Source organism: Homo sapiens, chromosome 7 (genome assembly GCF_000001405.40).
Source record: "Homo sapiens chromosome 7, GRCh38.p14 Primary Assembly".
Taxonomy (NCBI): Eukaryota; Metazoa; Chordata; class Mammalia; order Primates; family Hominidae; genus Homo; species Homo sapiens.
Genome location: NC_000007.14, coordinates 34195997 through 34219088, shown reverse-complemented (window position 1 = coordinate 34219088; position 23092 = coordinate 34195997). Strand labels below are relative to the sequence as shown.

Here is a 23092-nt window from a genome sequence, read left to right as displayed (position 1 = left end):
GCTTGAACCCGGAAGGCAGAGGTTGCAGTGAGCCGAGATCATACCAGTGCATTCCAGCCTGGGCAACAAGAGCAAAACTCCATCTCAAAAAAAAAAAAAAGAAAAGAAAAAAGAAAGAGACCAGCTTGGGGACAGGAGAAGTAGAAACAGAAGAGCTCTGAAGAGACAGAGGAATTCTAGAAGGACAGGGCAGATCAGACCAGAGCAGAGATTTTTACAATTCTTGGTGGAGACTGAGAAATTTATATCAGAAGTCACCATGTGTCATTTATACTTTGTGGTGTAATTTTGCTTGAATTGTCTTCATAGTGAGTTATGTATATAGTTCTCATTCCAATACCAAAATATAGGCTCTGTCATTTTCAACAAATTTTCTGTGCTGTTATCGTAGATGCTTGGGTTGCGGAAGCCCTCCAGCTGTTGATAAAATGCTAGTAAAAATATTAAATATGTAAATATGCTTTGTGGAAATCATATTGCCAGCCCTTTTTGCTTCTAAAAGTTATTGCTTGCCTTTCTTCAGTGAGGGGAGACTACGTAAGGGAAATTGTATTTTAAGGAAATCTGAAACTCCATATCCTAACATAAGGTAAACAAAGTATTGCTGAATATACTTTCTCAGGAAAGATTAAGGAAAAGTATTCTAGGAAAAAAAGTGAACAAAGGACATAGATAAGTTATAATAGACAAGATACAAATGGCTAAGAAACACATGAAAAACAATATTTAGGCTCACCACTACGCAAGAAATGTAAATGTATACAAAGTACTGATTTATACACTGCAAGTTGGCAAAATTTTGAGAGAATGAAAATGCCTATTACTGTCAAGGATATGGGGAAACTTGATTTTTCAAGCACTGTGATATGAGTAGCAATGAACAGCCTCTTGGAGGGAGGGTTGACCTCTGTATCAAGAATCATAAAATTCATATACCCTTTGGCCTCATAATGCTACTTCTAGAAATGCTTCTAAAGAAAACAACCAGATGAACCAGGAAATATATTGATTGCATCATTGTATAGAATGGTTAATATTTTAAGTTCCAACAGCAAAAATTATTTGAAATTGTGATCTGTTGATAATGGAATATTAATTCAGCCACTTTAAAAAGATGTGAGTAAATAGATTTTACTGAAACGAATAGATGTTCACAGTATATCATTATGCCAATGAGCAAGTTACAAAAGATTATAGTATTTTTTTCTAGTTTTACACACACAAACACACATGGACGCACACATGCACATATGTATACATGTAGGAGAGGGAGACAAGGAAAGAATTTATGAAAATATTGTCAATGGTTTATTGTATCTGGGAGGTGAGATTGTGGGTGATTTTTTTCCCTTATGATTTATCTGTACTGTAAATGTTTTTTGTAATAAACATGAATTACTTTTAGAATATTCATAATAAAAAAGAAAAACAGTATATTTTTTCACTTCCGTCAAAGGAAGTTTAGATTCTTTTTGTAGCTAAATTGGTGTTTTTATTATTTGCAATTTTCTTAATAACAACAAAACTAATACTAGTGACTTTTTATAGCCATATGTGATCTGTATCCAAATGGGCCTATTAAAGGCTAAATCCCTTTCACATTTTTCTTCATAATGACCCTAAAGGAGAGGTGAGGACTAATGTTATGAATGGAGATAATAAGGCACAGATAATCAGAGAAATTCTCCCTTCAGTTCAGAGAAAACTTAGAAGCAGTTCTGAGAAAAAACTGCAAGACTCCAGACTGTTGTTTTGAATGAAAGTTGAGCTCCCCATAGATCTCATCGGTAATTTTATCATTAGTGCAGCCTCAGCACCATGTCCCTTTGGGTAAAAATAAGAATTATTTCCTTCTCGTTTTAAAAGTCTCTTTCTTGAGCCAAGAGTGTGTATATATCTACATGGCACTAATGCTGATGTGTGTGTTGTGTCTCTGATACAGTTTGGCTCTATGTCTCCACCCAAATCTCATGTCGAACTGTAATCCTCATAATTACCCTGTGTCAAGGGAGGGATCTGGTGGGAGGCAATTGGATCATGGGAGTGGTTTTCCCCCATGCTGTTCTCATGACAGTGAGTGAATTCTCACAAGATCTGGTGGTTTTATAAGTGTTTGACAGCTTCTCCCTCACTAGGTCTCTCTCTCTGTCTCTCTCTCTCTCTCTCACCTGCTGCCATGTAAGACATGACTGCTTCCCCTTCTGCCACAATTGTAAGTTTCCTGAGGCCTCCTCAGCCATGTGGAACTGTGAGTTAATTAAATCTCTTTTCTTCATAAATGACCCAGTCTCGGTGTTTCTTTATAGCAGTGTGAAAATGGACTAACACAGTCTAACTCCTACATTCAATAGATATTCTGGGTTGCCCTCTGAACCCAGTTTGTCCTCGAGAAGTGGTCATTGTCCTTCCCCCCAGGATGAAAACTTCCCCAGTAGAAAGGGTTTAGCAGCACCAAGTGAGAAGAACACAGAATCAGACATGTCCAGGTGTGAATCTTCACATCTCCAAGTCTTACTTCCTCCACAATGAAGTACAGCTAACCAACCATGATGTTAATTTTATGTGTCAGCTTGACTGGACCATGGGATGCCCAGGTATTGGGTTAATTATTACTTCTGGGTGTGTCTGTGAAGGTGTTTCTGGTAGAAATTAGCATTTGAATCACTAGACTGAGTAAAGAAGATCGACTTAACCAATGTGGACAGGCATTGTCCAATCCATCGAGTGACCAGATAGAACAAGAAGGTGGAGGAGGGGCAAATTTTCTCTCTTTTCTGAGCTGGGACATTATCTTCTCCTGTCCTGGAACATTGGAGCTCTTTGTTCTAGGGGTGTCAGACTAAGAGCATACACTAGCAGCTCCCCCAACTGCATCCTTCAGCCTTGAACCTCAGATTGGGAGTTACATCATCAGCTCCCCTGGCTCTCCAGCTTGCAGGTGGCATACGGTGGGACTTCTTGTCCTCTATAATCATGTGAGCCCCTTCCAAAATTAATTCTCTTCTTATAAATATCTTATTCGTTCTGCTTCTCTGGAGACCCCTGACTAATATTCTGAAGAAAAGGAGATAAATTCATAGAGTGTGTTAAACACATGGAAGGGATGTCACCAGAGTTAGTGCTCTCTTCTCAGACTCCTACACCCTCTGTGACTTGCCCATTGAACTCCCTGAAGGAGGGTCTGGCTCTTCTACTTTCTGATCATGCCCACAATTCTAAGCCCAGATGGGAGCTCTGTTCAGGAAGATGTAACATGAAGTTATGAGGTTTAAGTTTCAGGACTCCTCCTTGGAGGCCCATTAGGGGGCTGAGGGTCTTGCTGAGAGCTGTAGAATGTTCTACATGAAGATGGGAAGACAGATTACAAGGAGAAAGCATTTCTGGTAAATGCGCTCCTGGTAAATTGCCTAAAAAGAGCTCAGAGGAAAGAATCGCGAATCTCTAAGGCCCTAGGAATGTATTGTGACTTATTTTCTCATTACAAATAAATATTCACTGGCATATCTAATTGGGTGTCTGGATTCTTGTAGCTTTAGCAGCATCCCAAAATTGTATAAACTCCAGGCCCCACAAAACCTGGATCATCCCTAAGACCTTAGTTCAGTTATCTGGCTTAAGAATCCTCTCTCTTACTATTCCCACCCGGTCTCTGCTCAGACATTGAATGAGAGTGAGATTTCTACCTTCCAAGGTAGTTCACTCCAATTAGAAACATTTTTACCCTGTTTACCGAAAAATGCCAGTGACGACTCTGTGTCCCTAAGCTATCCGGATCACAGGTCACATATCTGTTCCTTGGACCACACAGAATACATGCCGTCTCCAAAGCTGTTTCCCAGGCCACACACACCAGCATTTAGCCCCTCTCATCTACCCACTGCAGTTCCTTTTCTGACTGGTGCATAGAGCTGAGCCCAGCCCTTCAAGTATGATCAGACTGACCACAGCATGACAGGTGCATTACCACCCTCCAGTAATGCTGGGCATGGTTTCCGCTTGAAAAAGAGTGCCCACCCTAAAAGATCTCAAGTCAAAAGCTGGTTTTCCATAATAGTGGTAATGAACTTCAATGTGACACTTCTACGGCCAAGACTGATGCAGCCAGTTCACTGCCCAACAGTTGCTGACTGAGGAAGCTGAGTCTTAAACAGAACTACAACACAGGGCACTGCAAGGAAACTAGCTCCACCCTGCATACGCCTGATGCTGCCGTTGCATGGAAGATCAGAGCTGATATGGAGACATCATCAGGTTCCAGTGTGGGACTTGGGTTGCAACCTGCAGGCAGGGCCTGTGCTCTCAGAGAGAACAGAGGAGAAAAATGGTGCCATCATGTAACTACCTTCTTTGCCTGCCTCACAGTCTCAGAGTCTGGCTTCCACACTGCCTTCTTTAGTAATTTATTTTCTTTCTTTTCTTTCTTTCTTTCTTTCTTTCTTTCTTTCTTTCTTTCTTTCTTTCTTTCTTTCTTTCTTTCATTTATTTGAGATGGGGTCTCACTCTGTCGTCCAGGCTGGAGTGCAGTGGAGCGATCTCGGCTCACTGCAACCTCCGCCTCCCAGGTTCAAACGATTCTCCTGCCTCAACCTCCCGAGTAGCTGGGAGTACAGGCATGTGTCACAATGCCTGGCTAATTTTTATATTTTTAGTAGAGACGGGGTTTCACCATGTTGGCCAGGCTGGTTTTGAACTCCTGGCCTCAAGTGATCCACCCCCCTCAGCCTCCCAAAGTGCTGGGATTACAGGCGTGAGCCACTACACCCGGCCTTCTAGTAGTTTCTTTGAATCATAGTCTTGGCATAGTCATGATAGTGCATTAGCTCATATGGTTGATAGGGCTCAGGGGGATAAGTTGTTTCCTCTGTTCTAGCCTATGAACAACCCCCTCCATTTCCCAATCAAAGAAGGAATAAAGCCACACTGCCTACTAAAAACAGTTATGAAACTATAAAGGACTTTCTTAATATCTTGGCCCCAGGATTTTAGGATAAAGACCCTCTCCTGATGTTCAAGGTATGGTACTGAAAGCCAATTTTGTGGTAGGGACAGCAGCCGAATAAGCATGGCGCCAGAGACAGCTAGAACATCCTCAGGGTGCCAGTGCTTCCAGGCACTCCTAACTGGCTCTGTGACTCGAATGTCCACATGCACACAAACCCACACACACACACACACACACACCCATACTGCAGTGGCAGCATATGGTTGGCTTTCTTTCATCGTGCAGTTTACTCTCACTGTAAACTGAGGCACAGCCATGGAGCTAGCGGGGGCCTAAATAAAAGGGTGTGCTAACTGAAACAAGTAAATGCAGGCAGCCCAAGAAGTTTCTATATATACGTTTTATATGCTGCAATTATCAATAAGGAAATCTTAAACAAGTAGAGCTATTTTGGGCATTTTCCCACACTGCTTACTCTCCCTGGCGACTGTAACTTGATTTTGTCTTATGTTGGTAGCCCGAGGTTAAAGAGTATCCCAAGTCAAGTGCTACCATAGACACAGCTCTCAGTTACTCACAGCGTGTAAATGTTAGTGCAGTGGAATTACTATTTGTGATCTAGCATGACCTGTGAAAATTCAGATTTTACTGGAAGAGGGATAATGGCTAACAACAGTAAAAGGCTAAATTTCACTTTTCGGAAACAAGTCAGAATCGATTAAATGGGCAGATTGGTTTTGACAGCTCATTGCTTGAGTGTCACAAAATAAACAACACTGGCTAATGTGTTCTGTCATGGAAGACCAAGCAGATGATATTTTATGCTTTTTAGAATTGACTGAAGAAGATATAAAACAGCACACTAAAACAACAATTAAAATATTCCCCTCGCTCATCCCACCCCAAACCTAACAAAGTCCCGGTGAACCAAACTTAACTCTTACTTTGTTCCACTCATCCATCCACCCATCCATTCAGTCATCCCCCCACCCATCCACCCTACTAACAAGTATTTGCATGCACTTTTCATGTGTCAGAAACAGATAAGTTGAGTTACATAGATGAGAATTTGCTCTCTACAGCGTCTCTTCTCTCTTCTTCCTCGTTTTGGTCAATGTAAGGACTCAGGTTCATGTAGTCACTTGTGACTTCAAGATTGCCAGGGAGATGGGCACCAGGCTCTGGTCAATCAGACTGAGCCTCTCAGAACCATTTCTTAGGCAAGTGCCAGGATCAGAAAGTAGGATTGGATAACTGGGTGAGATGCCTGTGGACAACCCAGAAGTCACTAGGATATCACATCAAAAGCTGAATTGGGCCAAGGAAGAGGGCCACACACTGTGGGGAGGAGGCAGAGTCTAGAGGGGACAAACTAATCACAGAAATCTGTTTTTTCTATTGCAAATAATTTTTTAAGCCACACTGTGCTTATCTTAGTGACTCTCTGTCAATTCAAGGTTTTTTTAAAAAAAATTTTGGTAATGAGAGGAAATGGAGGCTAGAAAAAATAAAAACAGACATTAATACAATGGCTTGAAATCAAGGCAAACTTGGTCAACCATGGAAAATTTTTATATGTAACTTAAAAAAAAATATGCAAAGAAAAAAGTGCATGCCACACAAGTTCAGTAACAATTTTTAAGCATCATTTTCATTTGCTTTCTATTATAACGAAGCCAGAGATCATTACTATTTTCAGATTTGATATAGGCTCCTCAGACTCTTTAATAGCTTGCCCAGGAGCCAGGTACACTCTATAGTCGGCCTTCCAGGACTTGACATTAATTACCCATGCTGAAGCAAAAACTAAGACAGTCGCGGCATTCAGGGTAATTCTTTAAAGTGTGCATGTGGAAGTGTGGAGGGCATTCTGTATGGATTTCTCAAACTGCTGTAGCCACAGAATGAGGCAGGTCAGGACTTCAATCCCAGCTCTGTATTTAACTAGTTTGAATCTCTGTCACCTCATCTGCCAAATGAGCATCATAATACCTCACTCACAGTGTTGGGTTGGTTTTGCCAACGCATGTCTATCATGTCTCCATAAAGGTACTTGAGGACACAATGTAGTCTCAAGGGGAGGTTGAGAAAGTTCCATTGAAGCTGCATTTGAACCACAGGGATTTTACTTTGATTTCACGTTCATCTAGAAGAATCAAGAACTTATTGGGGAGACTATAGCCCTTTCAGGTCACCCCTTATCTACCTTAGAAATCAGGAAACTTTTAATGTAAATGACCAGAAAGTAAATATCAGGCCATACAGTCCCTCTAGCAACTGTTCTACTATGTGTTGTGTTACAAAAGCAGCCGTGGACAATATTTAAACAACTGAGCTTGGCCATGTTCCAAAAAATATTTATTTACAACACCGCATAGCAGAACAGATTAGATTCATAGGACACAGTTTGCAGACCCCAAGTGAGACAAAACATATATCTATGAGATCTATAGCTAGTGTATGTCTATGAGATAGGATATATATAGTTTGTCTTACAATGTCTGACACATAAGATGTGCTCAATAAATACCTCTCTGGCTATTTTGTCTTGACAGCATCCATGACTCAAAATCATATTTATTCATTCAACAAATTTTGCTTTAGTGCCTTCTGCATGCCAGGATCTATTATTGTCACCAAGACACAATAACGAACAAGACAAAGTGCCTGCTTTTATAGAGGTTATATTGTGGAGGTGAGGAAGGAAGAAAGGGTGGGAGGAAGGAACGGAAGGAAGGAAGCCATCAGCTCATGATAAGTGCTATGCAGACAAGAAATAGGATGCTATGGTAAGAAAAATGATAGCATAGCCACTTTTATGAGATAGACATCTCAGAGCAGGTGACATTGAGCTGAACTCTGAAAGAAGAGAAGGAGCCTTCCAGGCTGAGATGAGGGGAAGCCTTCCAGACAGAGTAAACAATGAGAAGGAATGCCATAGGGTGGGGATGAACACTGCCTGACCAGGGAAAAGGAGGAAGGGCAGAGTGACAGAGCTCAGAGGGCAAGCAGGGGGAGGGCAGAAGGCAAGTCAGAGTCAGGCAGCCATTAGATCACTTAGACTGGTGCTGTCCAGTGAAAACATAATGTGAGCCACATGTGTAACTTAAAATTCTCTAGTGTGTATGTATATAGATAGAGTCTATCTATCTATCTATCTATCATCTATCTATCTTATCTGTCTATCTATCTATCTATCTATCTATCTATCTATCTAATCTATCTACCTACCATCTATATGTCTGTCTATCTTTCTATCTAGATATAGACATGCATAACAATGGTAAAACTAATTTAAAATATAAATTTTTGATGGCTGGGCATGGTGGCTAATGCTTGTAATCCCAGCACTTTGGGAGGCTGAGGCAGGTGGATCACCTGAGGTCAGAATTTTGAGACCAGCCTGGCCAACATGGTGAAACCCCGTCTCTACTAAAACTACAAAAATTAGCTAGGCATGGTGGCACACGCCTCTAATCCCAGCTGCTTAGGAGGCTGAGGCACAAGAATCACAGGAACCCGAGAGGAGGAGTTTGCAGTGAGCCGAGATCGTGCCACTGCACACCAGCCTGGCTCACAGAGGGAGAATCTGTCTCAAAAACAAAGAAACAGATTTTTACTTAACCCAACAAATTCAAAATATTATTATTTCAATATGCAATCATCATAAAAATTATTAATTAGAGAATTTTTACTCTTTTATTCATGCAAAGTCATCTAAATCTGGTGAGTGTGTCATACTCACAGCACATCCCAATGTGCACCAGCCCCATTTCCAAGGTCGCTAGGAGCTGACAAATCAGGCAGCATTATTCAGATATTTATGAGGTAAGATAAGAGCTTGTATTTTCACTCCAAGTCCTCAGAGAGTTTGAGCAGGAGAGTGATATGTTCTAATTTACATTTCTGAAAGACCATTCTTTATGGACTGCTTTATGGAGAATGAGTTAAAGGGGGACTCTAAGAGGAGAAAAGTGAGAGGAGCAATTGGAAAGTGAGTGGCCTAGGGCAGACCAGGGAAGGTATTGGCTTGATTGGAGTGGTGGGGTGGGTAAGGAGTTAGAGAGCGTGGATTAGAGATGTTGAGTCTGAGTTGGTGTGATATGCAGGGTAAAGGCCTACAGATTTTGGTCTTAAAGTCAACGCCTGTGTGTACTAGGAATGCTCCCTGTCACACACACACAGAGCTCCAAAATGATTATCATTCAACCATGTCATGTAATACCATGAGAACACTGCTAGTCTTTGCTGATAAAGGTCCACAAAACCAGGTCAAACAAGAATGAAGGAAAGAGGAGAATAAGGGCACCAGGTGACTCGTATTGATTCTGGAGCAGGAATGAGACAAAAGTGTGACCTTTTTTAGTACTACCCTAAACATTTCCCTCCCCATTTTCTTCCTTCACAATGCCTGCCTAGGTCCTATGGAGGAAGTCTCAGTTTCTTAGGATCCTGTCCCTGCTACCTTCCTCTGCCTCACCTCAGCCTTCCCTGAGTCACTGCAAATATTTCTCACCCTTTTCTTTACCCCTTTCCAAAAGAAGCAGCAGATGTTCCAGCTCTCACCCATCTCCAGTCTCAGCTGCTCACTGGCCCAGTCTCAGCCAAAGAACCCCAGAAGGAGAAGAGTCGCATTGGCAGAAGGAAGAAGGTGGCTGCTGGGAGGAACTGCAGGCAGTTCTGGAAGCACACCAGCAGGATGGAAGCCAGAAGAGGACACAAAGCAGAGGCCAAGCACAGACCTAAGCAATCCACAGAGCAAACAGCGCTTCCAGCTGCTTCTCCACTCCCACACTAACCATCGTGGAAACAGGCCCCACGCTTCTAAGATGCTTTACAGCTTGTTGTGTGCTTCCCTGTATTTGTTCCATTGAAATAACTGAGAAAGGACCCTGAGGTGGGCATTTTTGAGAACAATTTCAGGAGAGGAAACTGAGCCCAACTGACTTGTCCAAGATTACACAGCCTGGAAGAAACAGAACCAGGGACTCCAGATCAACCCTCCTTCTCATCATACCCACTAACAGCAATGAGTCTGTGTGGCCGTGGCTGGGAGCCAGCTGTGCAAAGCCACACCACCAAACACACAGGGAATCACACATACCAATGGCTCAGTCTTCCTCATTGTGGGTGGAAGTCATCTAGGTCATGCCCTGTGGACATCAGGCATCTTTTCTTCATTTGTGTCTCCTCATGTTTAAGTTTTAGTCTATGCATTTAAATAAAGGAACCACTATTCTGAGCTGAAAATATCAGTGGCATCTGGGATCAGTCTTAGAATGAAGAGTCTGGCCAGGGCAGTATGGAAAATGTTTTCCATAAAAATATTTAAATGCTTATTTAAATATTTCCAAGTTAATTTGACCAACTTTAAAATGCACCAGAAAGACAATCCAAAAATCAAATGCCCTAAAATAAAAAAGCAGCTAAGTTACATGAGCTATTTATTTCCTTTTATTTAGATTTCTTGTCTAGAGACAAATCAGAAAAGATTTTTATATAGACTTGCCCTGCCTTGTCTCCATCATAGAAGTGCCATATGAAAATAAGTTAACATCAACCAATGCAGCATTTAATGTGTTTGAGGCACTAGTCTAAATGTTTTACATTTAATCCTGACAATAACTCCACAGGTAAGGATGCTACGACTATTTCCATTTTACTAGAGAGAAAGGAGAAGAAGGAAAAGAAGGTAGGGGAGGAGGACAAGGAGGAGGAGGAGGAGGAAGAGAAAAGAAAGTAAGTAGCATTTACTGAACACCTACTGTGGGCCCTCCACTGAGAGAATATAACACTGACCCTTCCCACAATGTCATGGCATGCTATCTACATTTCACAGGTGAGCAAACTGACTTGGAGAGGTAAGTACTTACTAAAGTTCACAGTTGTAAGTAGTGGAGGCAGGATTCAAACCCAGGTCTTTTCAGTACAAGAGATTCTTGTGATAAGGGCTTTCATATCAACCCGGTGTTGTGGGACTGAGGGACACAATGATATTTTGATGTATGAACAGTGCTGAGTTTCTCTTTTTATTGCCTTTTCATTAATCTAGTTCACTATTCTGTCATTTGATTGCTCAATAGGCATTTCACAAGTGCTGAGTGCACACAGAGCACATGTACATCACCATCTTCCCTCTGTTTCTTAAATCCTCAGCTGGCTTGGTCATTCTCAATCTACGAGAGCACTGTGTGCACTTGATCCCAGGCCTGAACGGGCTTGAACAGCTGAGAGAAGAAGGAAACGTTCACTGACCACAGCCTATACATCAGGTTTGGTGCTCAGCACTGGCTATTCATCCAATAAAACAACCCCGTGGAATAAGCATTTGGTATTCATTTTACAAAAATGGAAACTGAGGCTCAGATAGTTACAGTGACAGAGCTATAAAGTATCAAATCTTGGTGAAATGATACATATGCTACTTCAAATTGGCCATCATGTAAAAATTAACAACAATAATAAAAATCAAAGTCAACTCACGTGACCTCCAGACTTCTCAAGGTCAAAGCTACTTATGACACCTACTCTTGCCCTCCCAAGCCCCTGAAAAAAAAAATCAATTATCAATTACTCACTAGGACAGGGAGGGTTGGACAAACAACTGAAATCATATTTCAAATATTTTGGGGTCAAGCAAATGCCCAGGGTACTCTGCCAAGCATGTAAACACTTATTCATTAGAAAAACCATGTGAAATGGATGGGAAATAGGCTCCATATGTGTCCTGCTCATTAAGATAAAATAAAAAATATATATCTTTTCAAGAGTTGTCAGCCATGTAAGAAGTCTTTTGAGGGTTCCCCAATGATCCCCACCCCCAATATAAAACAGGAAAGAAACCTTTCTAAAGTTAATTTTCTTCAAAACAGAAAATGAGATTTGTCACATGCCATCATTCAGATATTCAAATATGACTCTGGGCTTGGAAATTATATATATAGCTTTTGAATGGGACTCCGAAATGGAACATTTTCTAAACTAAAACGAAGATGGAAGGAAAGGAAGACACGGAGTGAGGGAAGAAGGGAGAGAGGAATAAACCGGCCAAACATCACTTATTTGTCTTACTGTGGGCCTTTCTAAAGCTCCAAGGAGCACACGGTAGCATTTGTCCTCCCTGGGCCAGGGCTTGGGCAAGGGTAGATCAACTAGGGGAGCTGGAACCCCAAGCATTTGCCTGGCTAATTCTGTTCCCTCAGCTCTACACAAGCATCACTGTCAAGAGCACTCCTGCCATTTTCTCTTTTTTCTCTCTCTTCCTGCATTTTTTCTCTTTCCAACCCTGGCACAAATACATTATTGAGCTATTTATCGGTGCCAGAAACCAATCGCTGCTATCATATACACCATCAAATTTATTCATTCATTTAATTATCAAATATTTTTAGCCTGTGATTTGTCCCAGGCACTGTGCTGGGTTCTGGGACACAGTGGTGAGCAAAGAGCTGGGGTGTAAACCAGGGCATCTTCCAGTTGTCTCTGCCTTCTCTTCCGAAAGCAGACAGTCAGGGGCCAAGGGCCAGCTGCTGTTCTCCTTCTTTAGGAATCAAATGAGATATCAACCGTCCTTTTATTTTTAGAGAGGGCATTTTCTTTCATATCCCCCCTGAGAAGCTCTTTATTCTGACATATATTCATGCATTCATTTATTCACTCAACCAACAATAATTAAAATAGACTAAAAGCCTAAGAGAAGTACAGTGTGGTGTATAATACGTAAGCTCCAGGGCCAAGCAGGCAGGACTTCTCTCACCAGCCACGCAACCTCTCTAAGATCCCATTTTCTCCACTGTAAAATGAGGCTTATCAAAGACCTACCTCACAGGTTCATCAGGAGGATTTCATACCATAATAGTACACCGAGTTGGGGGAGGAACCAAGTTGGCCGAATAGGAACAGCTCTGGTCTACAGCTCCCAGCCTGAGCGACGCAGAAGACGGGTGATTTCTGCATTTCCATCTGAGGTACCGGGTTCATCTCACTAGGGAGTGCCAGACAGTGGGCGCAGGTCAGTGGGTGCGCGCACCATGCGCAAACCGAAGCAAGGCGAGGCATTGCCTCACTCGGGAAGCGCAAGGGGTCAGGGAGTTCCCTTTCCTAATCAAAGAAAGGGGTGACAGACGGCACCTGGAAAATCGGGAAAATCGGGTCACTCCCACCCGAATACTGCGCCTTTCCGACGGGCTTAAAAAACGGCGCACCACGAGATTATATCCCTCACCTGGCTCAGAGGGTCCTACCCCACGGAGTCTCGCTGATTGCTAGCACAGCAGTCTGAGATAAAACTGCAAGGCAGCAGCGAGGCTGGGGGAGGGGCGCCCACCATTGCCCAGGCTTGCTTAGGTAAACAAAGCAGCCGGGAAGCTCGAACTGGGTGGAGCCCACCACAGCTCAAGGAGGCCTGCCTGCCTGCCTCTGTAGGCTCCACCTCTGGGGGCAGGGCACAGACAAACAAAAAGACAGCAGTAACCTCTGCAGACTTAAATGTCCCTGTCTGACAGCTTGGAAGAGAGCAGTGGTTCTCCCAGTACGCAGCTGGAGATCTGAGAACGGGCAGACTGCCTCCTCAAGTGGGTCCCTGACCCCTGACCCCCGAGCAGCCTAACTGGGAGGCACCCTCCAGCAGGAGCACACTGACACCTCACACTGTAGGGTACTCCAACAGACCTGCAGCTGAGGGTCCTGTCTGTTAGAAGGAAAACTAACAAACAGAAAGGACATCCACACCGAAAACCCATCTGTACATCACCATCATCAAAGACCAAAAGTAGATAAAACCACAAAGATGGGGAAAAAACAGAACAGAAAAACTGGAAACTCTAAAAATCAGAGCACCTCTCCTCCTCCAAAGGAACGCAGCTCCTCACCAACAAAGGAACAAAGCTGGACAGAGAATGACTTTGACGAGCTGAGAGAAGAAGGCTTCAGATGATCAAATTACTCTGAGCTATGGCAGGACGTTCAAACCAAAGGCAAAGAGGTTGAAAACTTTGAAAAAAATTTAGAAGAATGTATAACTAGAATAACCAATACAGAGAAGTGCTTAAAGGAGCTGATGGAGCTGAAAACCAAGGCTCGAGAACTACGTGAAGAATGCAGAAGCCTCAGGAGCCGATGTGATCAACTGGAAGAAAGGGTATCAGCAATGGAAGATGAAATGAATGAAATCAAGCGAGAAGGAAAGTTTAGAGAAAAAAGAATAAAAAGAAATGAGCAAAGCCTCCAAGAAATATGGGACTATGTGAAAAGACCAAATCTACGTCTGATTGGTGTACCTGAAAGTGATGGGGAGAATGGAACCAAGTTGGAAAACACTCTGCAGGATATTATCCAGGAGAATTTCCCCAATCTAGCAAGGCAGGCCAACGTTCAGATTCAGGAAATACAGAGAACGCCACAAAGATACTCCTCGAGAAGAGCAACTCCAAGACACATAATTGTCAGATTCACCAAAGTTAAAATGAAGGAAAAAATGTTAAGGGCAGCCAGAGAGAAAGGTTGGGTTACCCTCAAAGGGAAGCCCATCAGACTAACAGCGGATCTCTCGGCAGAAACCCTACAAGCCAGAAGAGAGTGGGGGCCAATATTCAACATTCTTAAAGAAAAGAATTTTCAACCCAGAATTTCATATCCAGCCAAACTAGCTTCATAAGTGAAGGAGAAATAAAATACTTTACAGACAAGCAAATGCTGAGAGATTTTGTCACCACCAGGCCTGCCCTAAAAGAGCTCCTGAAGGAAGCGCTAAACATGGAAAGGAACAACCGGTACCAGCCACTGCAAAATCATGCCAAAATGTAAAGACCATCGAGACTAGGAAGAAACTGCATCAACTAACGAGCAAAATCACCAGCTAACATCATAAAGACAGGATCAAATTCACACATAACTATATTAACTTTAAATGTAAATGGACTAAATGCTCCAATTAAAAGACACAGACTGGCAAATTGGATAAAGAGTCAAGACCCATCAGTGTGCTGTATTCAGGAAACCCATCTGACGTGCAGAGACACACATAGGCTTAAAATAAAAGGATGGGGGAAGATCTACCAAGCCAATGGAAAACAAAAAAAGGCAGGGGTTGCAATCCTAGTCTCTAATAAAACAAACTTTAAACCAACAAAGATCAAAAGAGACAAAGAAGGCCATTACATAATGGTAAAGGGATCAATTCAACAAGAAGAGCTAACTATCCTAAATATATATGCACCCAATACAGGAGCACCCAGATTCATAATGCAAGTCCTGAGTGACCTACAAAGAGACTTAGACTCCCACACATTAATAATGGGAGACTTTAACACCCCACTGTCAACATTAGACAGATCAACGAGACAGAAAGTCAACAAGGATACCCAGGAATTGAACTCAGCTCTGCACCAAGTGGACCTAATAGACATCTACAGAACTCTCCACCCCAAATCAACAGAATATACTTTTTTTTCAGCATCACACCACACTTATTCCAAAATTGACCACATACTTGGAAGTAAAGCTCTCCTCAGCAAATGTAAAAGAACAGAAATTATAACAAACTATCTCTCAGACCACAGTGCAATCAAACTAGAACTCAGGATTAAGAATCTCACTCAAAACCGCTCAACTACATGGAAACTGAACAACCTGCTCCTGAATGACTACTGGATACATAACGAAATGAACGCAGAAATAAAGATGTTCTTTGAAACCAACGAGAACAAAGACACAACATACCAGAATCTCTGGGATGCATTCAAAGTAGTGTGTAGAGGGAAATTTATAGCACTACATGCCCACAAGAGAAAGCAGGAAAGATCCAAAATTGACACCCTAACATCACAATTAAAAGAACTAGAAAAGCAAGAGCAAACACATTCAAAAGCCAGCAGAAGGCAAGAAATAACTAAAATCTGAGCAGAACTGAAGGAAATAGAGACACAAAAAACCCTTCAAAAAATTAATAAATCCAGGAGCTGGTTTTTTGAAAGGATCAACAAAATTGATAGACCGCTAGCAAGACTAATAAAGAAAAACAGAGAGAAGAATCAAATAGACTCAATAAAAAATGACAAAGGGGATATCACCACCGATCCCACAGAAATACAAACTACCATCAGAGAATACTACAAAGACCTCTACGCAAATAAACTAGAAAATCTAGAAGAAATGGATAAATTCCTTGACACATACACTCTCCCAAGACTAAACCAGGAAGAAGTTGAATCTCTGAATAGACCAATAACAGGAGCTGAAATTGTGGCAATAATCAACAGCTTACCAACCAAAAAGAGTCCAGGACCAGATGGATTCACAGCCGAATTCTACCAGAGGTACAAGGAGGAACTGGTACCATTCCTTCTGAAACTATTCCAATCAATAGAAAAAGAGGGAATCCTCCCTAACTCATTTTATGAGGCCAGCATCATTCTGATACCAAAGCCGGGCAGAGACACAACCAAAAAAGAGAATTTTAGACCAATATCCTTGATGAACATTGATGTAAAAATCCTCAATAAAATACTGGCAAACCAAATCCAGCAGCATATCAAAAAGCTTATCCACCATGATCAAGTGGGCTTCATCCCTGGGATGCAAGGCTGGTTCAATATATGCAAATCAATAAATGTAATCCAGCATATAAACAGAGCCAAAGACAAAAACCACATGATTATCTCAATAGATGCAGAAAAAGCCTTTGACAAAATTCAACAACCCTTCATGCTAAAAACTCTCAATAAATTCAGTATTGATGGGACGTATCTCAAAATAATAAGAGCTATCTATGACAAACCCACAGCCAATATCATACTGAATGGGCAAAAACTGGAAGCATTCCCTTTGAAAACTGGCACAAGACAGGGATGCCCTCTCTCACCACTCCTTTTCAACATAGTGTTGGAAGTTCTGGCCAGGGCAATTAGGCAGGAGAAGGAAATAAAGGGTACTCAATTAGGAAAAGAGGAAGTCAAATTGTCCCTGTTTGCAGATGACATGATTGTATATCTAGGAAACCCCATTGTCTCAGCCCAAAATCTCCTTAAGCTGATAAGCAATTTCAGCAAAGTCTCAGGGTACAAAATCAATGTGCAAAAATCACAAGCATTCCTATACACCAACAACAGACAAACAGAGAGCCAAATCATGAGTGAACTCCCATTCACAATTGCTTCAAAGAGAATAAAATACCTAGGAATCCAACTTACAAGGGATGTGAAGGACCTCTTCAGGGAGAACTACAAACCACTGCTCAAGGAAATAAAAGAGGATACAAACAAATGGAAGAACATTCCATGCTCATGGGTAGGAAGAATCAATATCGTGAAAATGGCCATACTGCCCAAGGTAATTTACAGATTCAATGCCATCCCCATCAAGCTACCAATGACTTTCTTCACAGAATTGGAAAAAACTACTTTAAAGTTCATATGGAACCAAAAAAGAGCCCACATCGCCAAGTCAATCCCAAGCCAAAAGAACAAAGCTGGAGGCATCACACTACCTGACTTCAAACTATACTACAAGGCTACAGTAACCAAAACAGCATGGTACTGGTACCAAAACAGAGATATAGATCAATGGAACAGAACAGAGCCCTCAGAAATAATGCCACATATCTACAACTATCTGATCTTTGACAAACCTGAGAAAAACAAGCAATGGGGAAAGGATTCCCTATTTAATAAATGGTGCTGGGAAAACTGGCTAGCCATATGTAGAAAGCTGAAACTGGATCCCTTCCTTACACCTTATACAAAAATCAATTCAAGATGGATTAAAGACTTAAACGTTAGACCTAAAACCATAAAAACCCTAGAAGAAAACCTAGGCATTACCATTCAGGACATAGGCATGGGCAAGGACTTCATGTCTAAAACACCAAAAGCGATGGCAACAAAAGCCAAAATTGACAAATGGGATCTAATTAAACTAAAGAGCTTCTGCACAGCAAAAGAAACTACCATCAGAGTGAACAGGCAACCTACAAAATGGGAGAAAATTTTTGCAACCTACTCATCTGACAAAGGGCTAATATCCAGAATCTACAATGAACTCAAACAAACTTACAAGAAAAAAACAAACAACCCCATCAAAAAGTGGGCGAAGGACAAGAACAGACACTTCTCAAAAGAAGACATTTATGCAGCCAAAAAACACATGAAATAATGCTCACCGTCACTAGCCATCAGAGAAATGCAAATCAAAACCACAATGAGATACCATCTCACACCAGTTAGAATGGCAATCATTAAAAAGTCAGGAAACAACAGGTGCTGGAGAGGATGTGGAGAAATAGGAACACTTTTACACTGTTGGTGGGACTGTAAACTAGTTCAACCCTTGTGGAAGTCAGTGTGGCGATTCCTCAGGGATCTAGAACTAGAAATACCATTTGACCCAGCCATCCCATTACTGGGTATATACCCAAAGGACTATAAATCATGCTGCTATAAAGACACATGCACACGTATGTTTATTGCGGCATTATTCACAATAGCAAAGACTTGGAACCAACCCAAATGTCCAACAATGATAGACTGGATTAAGAAAATGTGGCACATATACACCATGGAATACTATGCAGCCATAAAAAATGATGAGTTCATGTCCTTTGTAGGGACATGGATGAAATTGGAAACCATCATTCTCAGTAAACTATCGCAAGAACAAAAAACCAAACACCGCATATTCTCACTCATAGGTGGGAATTGAACAATGAGATCACATGGACACAGGAAGGGGAACATCACACTCTGGGGACTGTTGTGGGGTGGGGGGCGGGGGGAGGGATAGCATTGGGAGATATACCTAATGCTAGATGACGAGTTAGTGGGTGCAGCACACCAGCATGGCACATGTATACGTATGTAACTAACCTGCACAATGTGCACATGTACCCTAAAACTTAAAGTATAATAATAAAATAAATAAATAAATAAATAAAAAATAATACACCGAGTTATACACCTAACACACTCAATGCTATGGTAGCTGTTATTATCCCTGCTATTGTATTGTGCCATGCACTATATGCCAGGCAAAAGAAAGTCAGACAAAAATTACAAAGGGATCTGGAGAGGACAAACACTACTCCAAAACAGAGGAGACCACATTATTTCTCCCTGACAAGTCTGATGCTTCTCTTATCAATTCAGCCACCATGGGTGAGTGTAAGACACTACAAAAGTCTTCAGCTTGCTCTTCCTTGTTTGAAGGTGGAATGACTCCAGCAGCCTTTAAACACCTCATTTTTTGCCTGAGTGCACATTATACATAATTAATCACACTGCAGAGCCCATACCTGAGAAAGCTGTTAGTTCAATAATTCACCTTGTCTGCTTGCATAAAACAGATGTGACCCCCCCAAGCTGACTTGAAAGTCCATTAGTCCATGAGATGCAGTATCTTCCTGTGTATCTACCAGCTGGAAAAGAAGTAGCCCGAGTATGTCCTTGAACTGAGAAGGGGGTGAGTCCACCGCCTCTCCAGTGAACACTCAGGACGGGCAGGTTCCATGAACAGGAAATGGCCTCCTCCCAGGGTGGAATATGTGCCTTTTCAACCCATAAGGATAAAGCTAGCAAATGATTTTGCCCAGAAAAAAAAAAAAAAAAGGGAACTGAAAGAGAATGTCAGTGTTCCAAGTGGAGCCAATTAACTCATTTAGATGGTAAATAGTAATGTAAGTATAAGTGAATGAAATTATTAGACAATTTCAAACTCTAGCTTTGGGGCAGATAAAAAAGTAGGGGAGGAGCAGGAAAGTGATAGCAGGACACAGGAAGTAATCACAGATAAAGGACTGCTGAGTGTGAGGAAATCATCTGAAAGTGCTAGTCAGAATTCATTTGTCTCCCACCTGTAGTCCCTTGGCTTCCACAGCAGGTTCTTTTGCAGATACTCATTCACTGTTTTATGTAATTATTTATGTATTGAACATTTGAAAGAGAAATTCCCCACTTGACATCCCTGAATATGTATATATGTGTGCAGTAGCCAAAAATGACAGAAAGGACCAGCATAAAAGGTGTTCAGTTGATGATTGCGCTCAACTGAAAACAATAGCAGAGAGAGACTTAAAAATTCCTCATCAGGGGCAGATCAGCTCTGATCCAAGCACTGTCTGGATCAGGAAGGTTTATAAGTGAGCTGGGAACTGACCCAGGCCTTTTCTTCTTGCCTTTTCTGGCTAGGGTTTCTCCAGAGCCTTGGTGAGAGGGGTTTTGTAAGCAAGACTAGAAGGGTGTCATGGTTAATGCTGGGTATGCGCTTTGCACCATAAGTCCTCTGGGTACATGTGCACATGCATCTTTACGGATAATTTGCTGGTTTTGTCTGACTAGATTTTGAAGGGGTTTGGGTTGTGAGTTTAGAATACACAAACACGATGCAATTGCAGTTTATTGTTTGCTAAACTGTTCTAAGTCTGTGCCATAATGTGAGTTCAGTCCTTCTCAGCTCATTCTTTTGTTATTTTTATAGATCCTTGTAGTATATAAATAGTATTTATTATTTGTCCATGATTCCTCCTTCCCGCTTTGCCACTGCTGTGACTGTCCTGTGAACAGAGTGTACTTTCCATCCCACTGGCATTGGACTTGGCCATATAACTTGCTTTGAGCAATAGAACATAGATGGAGGAGACAGCATGTTCCAAGGTGAGGCTTTAAGACACATGGCAAGTTTCCTACTGTCCTCATGTACTCTTATGAGCTTCTCATTCACTGTGAGAAGAGTAGAATTCAGGTGGCCTTCAGCCTGAGTCTCAGAATGAGAGCCCCATTGATCAGATATGAACCCAACCTACAGCCTGAAGCCAAGTCCAGCTGAGGCCAGCAAAGCACCACAGAGTCATAGCTGACTCATAGACCTGTGAATGAGAAACAAGTATGTGTTGCTATTTGGGGATTCTTTGTTATGCAGAATCATTGTATCAAAACCTGACTAATGCAAGTCTCAAGTTAAAGACACCTCATATAATATCTAGGAGAATTTCAACACAATTGATAATTGCGTCCCACTCTCCAGAAGGGAGTGGGCAAGTAAGTAACTTTCCTCATTCAGTGTTGCCTAAATATGGCCTGTATCTGGCTGAGAGTGCCAAATATGTTATAAGTAATTTGAAGTCCAGAAATCAGGATAGCATTCTTATATGCTATTGTCTTAGTCCCTTCATATTTCCATAGCAAAATACCTTAGACTAAGTAATTTATAAACAACAGAAACTTATTGCTCACAATTCTGGAGGTTGTCCAAGATCGAGACACCAGCAAAATCAGCATCTGTTGGGAGCTCGTTGGGAGCTCGTTCCTCATAGATGGTGCCTTGTATGTGTCCTCGCATGGTGGAAGGGGCAAACAGGCTCGCTCAAGCCTTTTATCTTCTTTTTTTAAGTTCCGAGGTCCATGTTCAGAATGTGCAGGTTTGTTACATAGGTAAACATGTGCCATGGTGGTTTGCTACACCTATAGACCCATCACCAAAATATTAAGCCCAGCATGCATTAGCTATTTTTCCTAATGCTGTTCCTCCCTCCTCCCCTCCCCATGACAGGCCCCAGTATGTGTTGTTCCCCTCCCTGTGTCCATGTGTTCTCATTGTTCAGCTCCCACTTACAAATGAGAACATGTTTGGTTTTCTGTTCCTGTGCTATTAATGCCATTCCCAATCACCTCCCAAAGCCCCATTTCTTAATATTATAGCACTGGTGACTAGGTTTCAACATATAAATTCTGGGAGCACTTAAACATTCAGACCATAGCAGCTGTAATCCGGGAAACCCTGGGTAACTATTTATAGGTGTTATTTACTTCTTTATTAATACTAATGCAACCATTTATAAAAGGCTCACTGCTAAGTCTTTTACATATGCAGTCATTTTTCTGTATCTATGGGAAATTGGTTCCAGGAGCCCCTTCAGTTACCAAAATTCTCAAGTCCCTTATATAAAATGGTGTACTATTTGCATGTAACCTACATACATCTTCCCACATCCTTTAAATTATCTCTAGGCTACTTATAATACCTAATATACTGCAAATGCTATGTAAATAGTGCTGAATACTACATTGCTTAGAGAATAATGACAAGAAAAATGTCTGTACATGTTGAGTACACGTTCCATTTTTTTCCATATATTTTTGGCCCACAGTTGGTTGAATTTACAAATGAGAAACCCAGGGATATGGAGGGCTGGAATTATCTATTTAGTCCTCAAAATAACTAAATAGGATACTTATTACTATTTTACAGAAACCAGAGCACAGAGAGATTAAGAAAAGCATCTAAAACCACATGAGTATAAGTAGTGGAGCCAACACTTAACCCCAAACAGTCAATCTCCAAAGTATCTTAAACTGCTCCCTGTTGAAGCCTATACCCCTCCATGGGGCTTACAAAAGGGTGTTTACACCTCCTTACCATGCTTCCACCCCTGCCTTTTGCTTCCCTCGGGATTCACTGACTTAGGATCTTGACACGAGTCTGCGGAGACCACATGTAAACAGATCCCATGTGCTGTAAAGCCCAGGAAGATGCAGAGGGCATCCAGCTCTCAGGCAGGAAGGTGGCCCTGTGATCTGGCGAGCTCTTGTCAGCCACCTGGGTGTGGGCTATGGCTGGCCTGTTCCTTACCGTAGTAGGTGTTCACAAAAACCGCAGTTGTTTTTTTACCATGACGTTTCTTTTCTTTTCCAGGATAGGCTATGCTTCTTATTTTTCCCTTCAGATACTCAATATCCCTTGTCCCCACTTTGCTCTTACTGCTCTTACATCTTTGTGTATTTTTCTTCGGTTTACAGTCTTTGCTTTTACTGCCCTCAAAATTCCTCAAGGGCTTCTGAAGGCTTTTTATGATTCTTCCGTCTTCTCAGGACGCAATGAAAGGCGTATTTCATTCAGGTGGATCTAACATTGTAGGTGGAAAGAAAATGATTCCTTCTGAGACTGCTTAACCAAAAGAAAAAAGAAAAGTAAATTTGCTGAACTATAAAGGCAATACATGTTCATTGTAGAAAAACTAGAAAATATAGGAAGCAAAATAAATATAAAAACTGTAAGTCTCCCTCCCCAAGATTACTCTTTTAGTTGATAGGTTAATATTTTAATAGATTTCCTGCCTGTTTCTTAAATACATGTTACCATAATCATGATTTTATAGTTTATGAC

The 23092-nt window shown here is 41.6% G+C and overlaps 1 annotated feature.

Moving 5' to 3' along the window:
• Positions 6713–7242: an enhancer, noted in NCBI's record as "NANOG hESC enhancer chr7:34251459-34251988 (GRCh37/hg19 assembly coordinates)". NCBI's record gives its function as "activates a minimal SCP1, AML or CMV promoter by ChIP-STARR-seq in naive H9 embryonic stem cells {active_cell/tissue: H9 hESC(naive)}" and the evidence as "EXISTENCE:reporter gene assay evidence [ECO:0000049][PMID:30033119]".